This window comes from Homo sapiens, chromosome 8 (assembly GCF_000001405.40).
Source record: "Homo sapiens chromosome 8, GRCh38.p14 Primary Assembly".
NCBI classification, from domain to species: Eukaryota; Metazoa; Chordata; class Mammalia; order Primates; family Hominidae; genus Homo; species Homo sapiens.
The window spans coordinates 8138605-8151082 of NC_000008.11; the positions used below are offsets into that span (position 1 = coordinate 8138605).

A 12478-nucleotide genomic window follows, 5' to 3' on the forward strand; every position below is an offset into this window, starting at 1 on the left:
TAAAGCCCCACGTCTATCACTTTGTAATAGTCTTAAAGCCCTTAGACCTAGAACTCTTTACTTTCCTGTATCAATTTATCCTTTTAACTTTTTTGCCTACTTCTGTAAAATTCTTTTAACTAGACCTGTTTCCCCTTTCTAAACTGAAGTATAAAAGAAAATCTAGCCCCTTCTTCGGGGCCAAGAAAACGTTAAGAGTTAGCCATTTCTTAGGCACCAGCTAAATAAGGAGACTCTTAATTCATGTGAAAGTGTGGCATTTTCTCCAACTCATTCAAGTACAACATTTGGAGGCCCCAGCGAGAAACGCCATGAGGAGAGAGCCGGGCTCCCCCGGAAGGACGGCCGGCTTGTGGGGGGTGCCACCTAAAAAAAAACCTTCAGGTCCTCGAAAAGTGACCGTCTTCCAGAGGAGAGCGGATCGACTACCCGGTGGGTGCCCATAAAAATTCCACCTCTGAGTCCTCGACTTCTGACCCTGAGGTCACGTAGGTCAGATTTGACTTCAGTTCTAGGAAGAGGGAAGCGGCCCTGATGAGGGTGTCCCTCTTTCGACTCTGCATGTTTCTCTAGGACGCTAGAAGGTAGAGCCCTGGTTTTCTGTTAGGCACCTCTGTGTCTCTTTCTAGGAGGGAAGTGGCCCTGACAGGGGCCCTCCCTTGACTCAGTCCACATCCCAGGATGCTGGAGGACTGAGTCCTGGTTTCCGGCAGACCGGTCACTCTCTCTCTCTCTGTTTCTATCTCTCATCTTTCTCTTGTTCAAGTTTCTTGAAGAATCTCCAAGAAAGAAAAAAAAAAACTGTTATATACTCTGTGTGAATAATGAATGAGTGAGGGAGGACAAGGGCTCGCGCTTGTCCTCCAGTTTGTAGCTCCACGGCGAAAGCTACGGAGTTCAAGTAGGCCCTCACCTCACCTGCGGTTCTGTGGCGACCCCATAAGGCTTAAGGCAGCATCAGGCATAGCTTGATCTGAGCCGGAAGTTTATACCGGCCTGCCAATGCTAAGAGGAGCCCAAGTCCCCTCAGGGGGAGGGGCCAGGCAGTTATCTGACTGATCCCATCACAGGAAACCCTCCCCTTGTCTGTCTAAAAAAAAAAAAAAAAAAAAAAAGGAAGAAACTGTCGTAACTGTTTACATGCACTAAAGTCAATTGTTTGTTTTATATTGATTGTTCTGCTCAGTGTCTATTGTCTTGTTAGTAGTTGTCAGAGTTTTGCATGTCAAGACGTTGATATTGCCAAGACGTCTAAGTAAAAACTTCTTCAAAGCCCTTAGTGCTGATTTTTTGTCACAGGAGGTTAAATTTCTCATCAATCTTTTAGGCTGGCGACCACAGTCCTGTCTTTTCTGCCAGAAGCAAGTCAAGTGTTGTTACAAGAACAAGTGTGAAAAACATTTGCCTGATTAAGATTTCTAGCACCATGAAAGTTGTAAGTATTTAGATCGTCATACTCCACGTCCAGGTGATTAGACCTCCTCTAAACTAAACCAGTAGTGAGTTCAAAACAGCCACCCTGCAAATTTCCTTGCTCACCTCTCTCGTCATTCTGTAACTTTTCCTGTGCCCTTAAGTAGAACACTGTGTAAAGAAATGTACGCCCGTACTGCTTTACTTCATTTAGATTCTTACTCTGTTCCTCTGTGGCTACTGTCCCATCTTAAAAATGATCCGAGTAGTCCTTTCCTGCCTTGTCCCTGCCCCCTATCCCGCACATCTCGTTTTACGGTGCGACAGCAAGTTTACCATCTCCAGGACTTGGCTCTGCTCTCACTCCTTAAACCCTTAAAAGAAAAAGCTAAGTTTAAGCTATTTGCATTTAAGTCATAAAGACACCAAAAATATTTAAAGTGCAGATCTAGAAGAAGAAGAAGAACGCCTAAATCAAACTGACCCAGAAGATCTCAGGCTGGCTCTAGTCCTCCTCCCTCAATCTTAAAGCTACAGCAATGTAGCAAGTAGTATTAGCTGTTGTAAGTTTTTCTGCTCTCTCTGGTCATACTGATTCTGTTCTTTCACTATGCCAGTCCCCCAAGAAATAAGTTTCTCTGTCCATGCTAAGTTTAATATCTATGCTCAAATCTTATTAAATTGCCTTCAAAAAAAATAAAAATAAGAAACACTTCCTCCCAGCCTTGTAAAGTTAAAGCCCTCTCCAATGTATGCTGCAGAATTTTTCTCTCAGTTCAGAGGATTATAAAGTCCGCCTAAAAAAGGCAAGCTCCAGACACTCTGCAAAATAAAATGGCCAAAGTTTAAAGTCAAGTGGCCCCCTGAAGGGTCATTGAACCTCACAATTGTTCAAGCTGTGTGGCAGGTTGTTACTGAAACTCCTAGTCACCCTGATCAGTTTCCCTACATTAGCTACGTTTAGTCAGGATCCACTCTCCATGGCTCCGTTCATGCGCCGTTCATAATTCTACCTCCAAGGTCCTCCTAAGCCAGACCGCGTTTTCGCCTCAACCCTCAGTCGGTTCAGCTTCCCCTGTACTGCCTCCCTCTGAAGAAGAGGAGAGTCCCCCTCACCCAATCCCACCGCCTTACAACCAACCTTCTCCCTTAAAGTTATCCCATGTCTCCTCGACGACGTCCCCTGTAGGCTCGCCACCCATTGCCTCTCAGTCATGACCGTGGCAGGAAGAAGTAGTCCCTCTACTACCACTGAGAGAGGCACAAGTCCCTCCAGGTGACGAGCGCTCAGCACCCTTCTTAGTTTGTGTCCCTTTTTCTACTTCTGACTTATATAATTAGAAAACCCATAATCCTCCCTTCTCTGAAAAGCCCCAGGCTTTGACCTCTCTGACAGAGTCTGTACTCCGGACCCGCCCGCCCACCTAAGATGATTGCCAACAGCTCCTTTTAACCCTTTTCACCTCTGAAAAGAAGGAACGTATCCAAAAAGAAGCCAAAAAGTACTTCCTCACATCAGCCAACGGACCGGAAGAAGAAGCTAGAGACCTCCTTGAGGATGTCTTTCCCTCTACCCAGCCTAACCAGGACCCACATTCCTCAAGTAGAAAGGGAGCTTTAGACGATTTTCACTGGTATCTCCTCGCAAGTATTAAAAGAGCCTCTCAGAAACCCATCAACTTGTCTAAGACGACCGACGTTGTCCAAAAGCCCGATAAGTCACCAAGAACGTTTTAGAGCGCCTCCAGGAGGCTTATCGGATTTACACCCCTTTTGACCCGGCAGCTCCCGAAAATAGCCTTGCTCTTAATTTAGCATTTGTGGCTCAGGCAGCCCAGGATATTAAAAAGAAACTCCAAAAACTAAAGATTTTCTAGAATAAATATCAGTCAGCTTTTAGAAATAGCCCAAAAAGTTTTTGATAATCAAAAGCTTAAAAAACAAAAGCAACACAGGCAACTGGAAAGGCCGCTGATAAAGCATTCAGAAGACAAACAAAAATCTTAGTGGCAGCCATCCAAGAAGTACAGAATGAAGTAGCCCGTTAATTTAGCATTAACTGAAGCCCCTGCTTTAGCCCTCCCTAATATCTCCATAAAAGCCAAGGAGTTGCTAAAGACGTGCTTACTCAGACTTTAAGACCCTAAAGCCGCCCAGTGGCCTATTTGTCTAAGAGGCTAGATCCTGTGGCCTCTAGATGGCCAAGTTGTCTTCGAGCCTTAGCGGCTACAGCAAGCCTGGCCCAAGAAGATGATAAGTTAACTCTAAGCCAAAATTTAACCCTTACAGCTCCTCACGCCGTAAAGACCTTACTACAAAATGCTTCTGGCAAATAGATGTCAAATGCTCGCATCTTGCGGTATCAAAGTTTACTGTTAGATCAGCCTCGTTTGACTTTCTCTCCCACAAAGTGTTACAATCCAGCTACACTACTTCCTGACTCAGACTCCACTATTCCTGCTCATGACTGTCAAGAACTGTTAGAAACTATCGAAACTGGCCTATCTGATCTTCAAGCTGTGCCCCTAGAAAAGGCAGATGCCGCCGTGTTCACAGACGGTAGCAGCTTCCTCAAGCAGGAAATATGAAGAGCCAGTGCAGCTGTTACCACGGAGACACATTTGTTGTAAGCTCAAGCTTTACCAGCGAACACCTCAGCACAAAAGGCTGAATTGATCGCCCTCACTCAGGCTCTCCAATAAAGTAAGAATAAACTTATTAACATTTACACTGACAGCAAGTACGCCTTTGCTGCTGTGCATGTACATAAAGCCATCTACCAGGAAAGCAGGCTACTCACCTCAGCAGGTAGCTGTGATCCACCGCAAAGGACATCAAAAAGAAAACACGGCCGTGGCCCATAGTAACCAGAAAGCTGATTCAGCAGCTCAGGTCGCAGCAAGACTTTCAGTCACGCCTCTAAACTTGCTGCCCACAGTCTCCTTTCCACAGCCAGATCTGCCTGACAATCCCGTATACTCAACAACAACAACAACTGGCTTCGGATCTCAGAGCCAATAAAAATCAGGAAAGTTAGTAGATTCTTCCTGACTCTAGAATCTTCATACCCTGAACTCTTAAACAAACTTTAACCAGTTACGTACAGTCTATCACCCATTTAAGAAGAGCAAAGCTACCTCAGCTCCTCCAGAGCCATTTTAAGATCCCCAGTCTTCAAAGCCTAAAGATTAAGCAGCTCTCCAGTGCACAACCTGAGCCCAAGTAAATGCCAAACAAAGTCCTAAACCCAGCCCAGGCCACTGTCTCTGGAAAAAGTCGCCAAGAAAAAAGTAAGAAATTGACTTTACAGAAGTCAAACCACACCAGGCTAAGTACAAATACCTTCTAGTACTAGTAGACACCTTCTCCAGATAGACTAAGGCATTTGCTACCGAAAACGAAACCACCAACATAGTAGTTAAGTTTTTACTCAATGAAATCATCCCTCAATATAGGCTGCCTGCTGCCATAAAGTCTGATAATAGAGCAGCCTTCACCTCGCCTATAGCTCAGTCAGTCAGTAAGGCGTTAAACATTCAACAGAAGCTCCATTGTGCCTATCAACCCCAGAGCTCCAGGCAAGTAGAACGCATGAACCACACCCTAAAAAACACTCTTATAAAATTAATCTTAAAAAAACAGTGTAAATTAAGTAAGTCTCCTTCCTTTAGCCCTACTTAAATTAAGGTGCACCTCTTACCAGGCTAATTTCTCACCTTTTGAAATTATGTATAATAGGGCACCGCCTATCTTGCCTAAGCTAAGAGATGCCAAATTAGCAGAAATATCACAAACTAATTTATTACAGTACCTATAGTCTCTCCAACAGGTACAAGATATTATCCTGCCACTTGTTCCAGGAGCCCATCCCAATCCAATTCCTGACCAAAGTCCTGCCATTCGTTCCAGCCAGGAGACCTAGTGTTGTTAAAAACTTCCAAAAAGAAAGACTCACTCCTGCTTAGAAAAGACCTCACAACGTCATCTTCACGACTCCAATGGCTCTGAAAGTAGATGGCATTCCTGCTTACATTCATCACTCCCGCATCAAAAAGGCCAACAGAGTCCAACTAAAAACATAAGTCCCCAAGCCTAAGTCAGGACCCTTAAAACTGCACCTAAGTCAGGTGAAGCCATTAGATTCATTCTTTTTATCTACCTCACTCACTTGTTTTTGCCCATTACATCCTCTGTGCCTTCCTACTCCTTTCTCCTCACCTCTTTCACAACAGGACTTGTACTTGCAAACACCACTTAGAAGGCCAGTACCTCCAAGGAAGTGTCCTTTGCAGTTGACTTATTTGTACTCTTCCCAAAGCCAGCCCATACCCACGAAAAGCAACACAATCTGCCAGTTCCAGGAGCAGGAAGTGTCGACTTTGCAGCAAGACTCAGACACTCCAAGAGCCAAACTAAGTGTAGAAGCTCCAAAAGTGCAGAAAAAAGACTCCAAAATATTTACTTTTACCTCTGTCCTAGAAATCACCCTGATGCTAGCTGTCAAGATACTTATCAGTTTTCCTGTCTTGATTAGACATGTGTAACTTTAGCCACCTGCTCTAAAAGATCAACCAGATCTTCAACTCTTTCCATAAGTCCTGCTTCTCATCCTAAATTATATACTAGAAGAAATTGTAATCCTCTTACTATAACTGTCCATGACCTTAATTCAACACAACAGTATCATGGCATGTCATGAAGATTAAGATTTTATATCCCAGGATTTAATGTTAAGTCTATGTTCACCATCCAAAAAAAACCTAGTCTCATAAAGCCCACCCAAGCCAATCAGGCCTTTAACTGATCTAAGTAACCCTATGTTCCAGAAACACCCTGAGAAAGTTGATTCAACTGTTCCTCCACCATTCTTAGGCATAAAAGATACACTCCAGAAAGTGCAAGAAAATCTAGATAAGCGCCAACAAGAACAAGAAAATAACATCCCCTAGTATCAAAGCATGTTCAACTAGAACCCAGAGCTAACTATTCTAATTACTAAGTTAGCCAGACCCCCTCCCCATCCTACTATTAAGTTTAATTTTTGGACCTTGTATATTAAATTAGTTTATTAATTTTGTAAAACAACGTATACCTTCTGTCAAACTTATGTATCTTAAGACTCAAAATAACCCCCTCGTTATAACTGAAGAATCAACGATTTGATTCCCCAAAAATACAAGTGAGGAATGTAATGCCCAACCTTGTTTTTACTAACCCTGTTCTTAGACTCTCCCTTTCTTTTAATCACCTAGCCTTGTTTCCACCTGAATTGACTCTCCCTTAGCTAAGAGAGGCAGACAGACTCCATCTTGGCTCTTTCACTGACAGCCCCTTCCTCAAGGACTTAACTTGTGCAAGCTGACGCCCAGCACATCGAAGAATGCAATTAACTGATAAGATACTGTGGTGAGCAATATCCGCAGTTCCCAGGAATTCGTCCAATTGATAACGCCCAAAGCCCCGCGTCTATCACCTCATAATAGTCTTAAAGCCCCTAGACCTAGAGCTGTTTACTTTCCTGCAACAATTTATCCTTTTAACTTTTTTGCCTACTTCTGTAAAATTGTTTTAACTAGACCCCCCTCCCCTTTCTAAACGAAAGTATAAAAGAAAATCTAGCCCCTTCTTCGAGGCCGAGAGAACTTTAAACGTTAGCCATTTCTTAGCCGCCGGCTAAATGAACAGACTCTTAATTCGTCTTAAAGTGTGGCATTTTCTCTAGCTCGTTCAAGTACAACACATCCAGCAGGCACGTAATCCACTCTAAAATGCCATCCTGGGGTAGTGAAGATGATGATGCTGGAAATATCCTTAAATGGCATGTGGATGAGTACCCCCAGAGGCATACATGTTGAGCTAAGTACTTTGCTGATGAAGGGTACAAGTTGAAGGGGTTTTGAAAGGCAGAGTGAGGTTCTTCAGAAGGCTGTTGCTACAGAAAGACAGGAGGAGAAATTACATGGCCAGATAGAGTGGCATGACCATTGGATAAGGGCTTTTTGTTTGTTGGTTTTTGAGATGGAGTTTTACTCTTGTTGCCCAGGCTGGAGTGCAATAGCACGATCTCAGCTCACCGCAACATACGCCTCCCAGGTTCAAGCGATTCTCCTGCCTCAGCCTCCCTAGTAGCTGGAATTACAGGCATGTACCACCACTCCCGGCTAATTGTGTATTTTTTGTAGAGATGGGGTTTCTCCATGTTGGTCAGGCTGGTCTTGAACTCCCGACCTCAGGTGATCCACCCGCCTTGGCCTCCCAAATTGCTGGGATTACAGGCGTGAGTCACCGTGCCCAGTCTGGATGAGGGTCTTTAGCAAAGATGGAAGTTTTGGTACCTTGCAGTTTAGTCTCTTCATTTATGTCCTCCTGAAATCTTCAGGAATTGCACTATTTTGTCAATACTTCTGGGGTCGTACTTAGGGGGACTTAAAGGAGATGTGATGTGGCAGCCTTTGACTTAAGGGAGTATCATACTAGCTCAAAGAGATCTGGGTACATGCCAGTTGAACCAACTCTTCTGAGGATGTGATAGATCCTGGGAGGCCACTCTGATCCTGCCAATGTTGAGGCCAGATGAGTCTTTGAAAAACATGGTTTGGCTTAACACCAGCACTTACTCTAACACCCACCATGAATCTTGCTGAACTGAAGCTATACAAATACCTTTTCAAAAGATTTTTTTTCATTCCAGATCCTTCTTAGAAATTCCTAAGGCTCAATGCTTTGTGGAAGATTCTGAGAAAGAAAATAGTTTCCGATCTTTGGGATTCCCGAGATGGTCCAATCTGCAAAAAGTTCATTGCCATTTCCATCAAGGACACTGAGAACAAGAGTCTTATCTGGATTGGATCCTGGGAATTGAGAAGCTTCAGCAGGTGGGAAATGCACCCTCCACAGGCTCACACCCTTGTGGGCTGTTTCAGTTACCTATTGCACCTAAAATTAGAAACTTTAAACCACCAGAAGCCATTATTGCTCATGACCCTGTGAGTTGCATGGGGACTTCCTGGCTGGTTTAACCTGGGCTCATTTGTGTGGCTACCTGCAGCTGGAGGGCCAGCTGGGCAGAGCATCCAGGATGGCCTCATGCATGTGCCTGGCAGTTGGTGCTGGTTGTCAGCCGGGGAAGCTTGTTTTCCTCCATGTCGCCCCTCGCCCTCCAGAACCCCTCTCCAAATGTCCCTTTAAGCAGGATAGCCAAGGTTTGCTTGGTGCCAGCATCCAAGAGGGCAAAAATATGGAAACTACGAGAGGGCTCTCAAGGCCTAAGACTATTTGCACCCCAAAAATATGAGGTCTCAGTTAATTCAGAAAGTTTATTTTGCCAAGGTTAAGGACTCACGCCTGTGACACAGCCTCGGGAGGTCCTGACAACATGGGCCTAAGGTGGTGGGGACACAGCTTGGTTTGATACATTTTAGAGAGACATGAGACATCAATCAATATGTGTAAGATGTACATTGTTTCAGTCTGGAAAGGCGGGACAACTCCAGGTGAAAGTGAAGGTGAGACAAGGGGAAGGGGCTTCCAGGTCATTGGTAGTTAAGAGACAAATGGTTGCATTGTTGTGAGTTCCTGATTAGCCTCTCCAAATGAGGCAATCAGATATACATTCATCTCAGTAAGCAAAGGGTTAACTGAATAGAATGGGAGGCAGGTTTCCCTTAAGCAGTTCCCAGCTTGACTTTTCTCTTTAGCTTAGTAACTTTTTTTTGGGTGGGCGGACAGAGTCTCGCTCTGTTGTGCAGGCTGGAGTGCAGTGGTACGATCTCGGCTTATTGCAACCTCCAACTCCAGGGTTCAAGAAGTTTCCCTGCCTCAGCATCCCAAGTAGCTGGGATTACAGGCGCCTGCCACCACGCCTGGCTAATTTTCATATATTTTAGTAGAGATGGGGTTTTGTCATGTTGGCCAGGCTGGTCTTGAACTCCTGACCTCAGGTGATCTGCCCGCCTCAGCTTCCCAAAGTGCTGGGATTACAGGCGTGAGCCACGGAGCCCAGCCTAGCTTAGTGATCTTGGGGCCCCAAGGTTTATTTTCCTTTTACGGCTAGAAGTTGGTCACCATCAATTTGGCAGCATTCCACTGACCAAAGCAAGTCATAGGCAGCCCAGATTCATGTAGAGGAGTATAAATTTTCCCTCTTTAAGGAAAGATTGGTTCAATTATACTGCACGAACATTTGCAGAAAGTTGTACCCATCTTTGGAAACTACCACACACACACACACACACACACACACACACACACACACACCCCTTTACATGCAACCCTCCCTTGAGGTGCATCTACTTCCAGGCAGAACCAAAACTTGACAGTACTCGACAGAAGAAAAGTAGCGTCCTAAATGCCAGTTCTCTTCTTACTCAACTTCAGCCTCATTATAAGCAGATTCTAACAGTTTATGTGTCTTGAGAAACATTTTAATTAATCTTTGGAATTTAAGAATTTCAATTCATAGCAGTAGCCTATGCATAGGAAATATGCATATTGTAAGTTTTTCCTTTCTGATAAATCACGCTGGGGGAACGACAATGTAACTTTTTTTTTTTTTTTTGAGGAGTCTCACTCTGTTGCCCAGGCTGGAGGGCAGTGGCATGATCTCAGCTCATGCAACCTCCCCCTCCCTGGTTCAAGCAATTCTCCTGCCTCAGCCTCCTGAGTAGCTGGGATTACAGGTGCACAAGACGGGGTTTCACCATGTTGGTCAGGTTGGTCTCGAACTCCTGACCTCTGATCTGCCCACCTCAGCCTCTCAAAGTGCTGGGATTATAGGCGTGAGCCACCGGCTCACGTATACTGTGACAGTATATTGAAAGTTTCTCTTTTTTTCAAATAATTAACAGGTTTAACAGAATGTATCTCCTGATCTATTCCTTTCACTGCAGACATCTATTGCCTTTTCAGCCTAGCAGCCCTCCCCTCTATAGAGAGTCACACTTCCTACTCCAGTCATGTGGATCTCATGGGGGCTGCCATGTTCTCAAATGACTCCACCTCCCTGGCCTCAGTTGATTGGTCCAGGGATGAGCATCTGGCCTAAATTGGCCAATCAGAATTCTTCCCTTGAATATTTTTCCAAACTGGAACTAGACCAAGTTAATCATTCTCTGTGATGACAGGAATTGTGTGTAGTGAGAAATACAGGAGCTTTTGTGGACACGTTTCTCACCTTATGGAGAAAAGGCTTGAGTAAGAAGAAATTAAGCCAGTATGCAGACAAAGCTAGAGACAGAGATAGAGAGAGAGATCTTGTGGTAAGCCCCTTGGTTTTTGTCATTTTAGTACATGCTCGATACTGCATACAACCAAGACTTTCACCTGAGGGCTTTCTGAAAGTCAGGCATGGAGTATGTCAGAAAAGCCACAGAAGCTGGGCGCAGTGGCTCACTCCTGTAATCCCAACACTGGGAGGCCGAGGCAGGTGGATCACGAGGTCAGGAGTTAGAGACCAGCCTGACCAACGTGGCAAAACCCCGTCTCTACAAAAAATAAAAAAATTAGCCGGGCATGGTGGCAGGCGCCTGTAATCCCAGCTACTGAGGAAGCCGAGGCAAGAGAATCGTTTGAACCTGGGAGGCAGATGTTGCAGTGAGCCGAGATCATGCCTTTGCAGTCCAGCCTGGGTGACAGAGCAAGACTATGTCTCAAAAAAAAAAAAAAAGAAGAAGAAGAAAGCAAAGCCAGAGAGTTGATGCCCTGGGACCAGTCCTCAGCCAGTGACGGATGGGAGCCAGGCTATAAATGCTTCAATATCTTTGCCCCTTGGATGGAACAACTTTGAAATGTATTCCACATCACCTCTCAGAGGTCCCCAGTGGGGTCAAATCCTAGTTGCCTAGAGTGGTAAGCTGCTCATTGAAACCCCCTGTGTGGCCTCCTACCTTTCCATGAATCAATTCCTCACTCCCCTATTGGTGTCCCCTGGAATCATCTCCTAAATAATCCACTTGCAATCCTGTCCCTCTTTCAGGATCTGCTTGGGGTTGGGGTTGGGGAGTGCAGAGAAAAACATGATCCCTTTTCCACTCCACACTAGTAAGATGAGTTTCTGTCACTGACAACCAAGAGTTCTGACTATTACCTCCTTCTGAGATAATTCCTAAAATGTATTTGGGAATTTCCCCACCTCCACCCCACTGCATATGTCATCAATATGTAGATTTCTTAACAAAGTTTAATGGTATTCTTTGATCAACCTCAAGTTTCACAAAACACACTGCACTTTCATAAGGGCTCCCCAGGACTGACAGATCAGCCGTTCAAAAGAAGGGAAGTGTCAGAGATGGCTCTCCTAGACTCGCGTATTTTTCAGTAGAATCTGGGTCAGGATGTTGTGGTCGGGAGATGCTTCTGGATCTCTGGGACCCACAAGCCTGCGTGTCATGGTGGAGTATTAGGACAACTTGAAAACATAGTGGCAGGAGGAGGCTTCCTCTCTCCCCTGCAGTTCATCCTCCAGCACACCCAATGTGCTCAACAGATATTGGTTAAATGAATAATGGGGCCGGGCATGGTGGCTCACGCCTGTAATCCCAGCACTTTGGGAGGCTGAGGCAGGTGGATCACCTGAGGTCAGGAGTTCAAGACCAGCCTGGCCATAGAGGCAGGAGAAGCACTTGAACCTGGAAGGCGGAGTTTACAGCACGCTGAGATGGCACCACTGCACTCCAGCCTGGGTGACAGAGCAAGACTCAAAAAAAAAAAAAAAATGGATTTATTCCTTCCAAACTGAAACTCACCAAAAGAAGACCAACACGCATGACAATGTTGTGGCCATAATCACCACAGTGACAATAATAAATATAATCAACTCTCGAGCCAGCCACCTCCACTAAACCTAGTGGATCACATCTAGTGTTTCACTTTGGGGATATTTTAGTGGTCATCGTAGATTGTCGCCTGACTGCTGGCTGTTTCTACCATGTTTCAGGAATATAGAGATGTGTACAGATGGCCCCTAAAATTAATTAGTATGCAATTCTCAAAGAGCCAAACTGTACCCCAAAAGCTACTGGAATGAAAAAAAAAAGTTTTAATTCTCAAAGAGACAAACTAGATAGTA

General features: G+C 44.8%; 1 long non-coding RNA gene across 1 annotated transcript in view, besides 2 other annotated features; it reads right to left on the reverse strand.

Annotated features, from left to right (window-relative positions):
- The window catches only part of FAM85B (family with sequence similarity 85 member B), a 126742-nt gene that overhangs the window by 37843 nt on the left and 76421 nt on the right, over positions 1-12478 (reverse strand). The window lies entirely within an intron of this gene.
- Positions 1949-2504: an enhancer, noted in NCBI's record as "OCT4-NANOG-H3K27ac-H3K4me1 hESC enhancer chr8:7998075-7998630 (GRCh37/hg19 assembly coordinates)". NCBI's record gives its function as "activates a minimal SCP1, AML or CMV promoter by ChIP-STARR-seq in primed H9 embryonic stem cells {active_cell/tissue: H9 hESC(primed)}" and the evidence as "EXISTENCE:reporter gene assay evidence [ECO:0000049][PMID:30033119]".
- Positions 2505-3058: an enhancer, noted in NCBI's record as "OCT4-NANOG-H3K27ac-H3K4me1 hESC enhancer chr8:7998631-7999184 (GRCh37/hg19 assembly coordinates)". NCBI's record gives its function as "activates a minimal SCP1, AML or CMV promoter by ChIP-STARR-seq in primed H9 embryonic stem cells {active_cell/tissue: H9 hESC(primed)}" and the evidence as "EXISTENCE:reporter gene assay evidence [ECO:0000049][PMID:30033119]".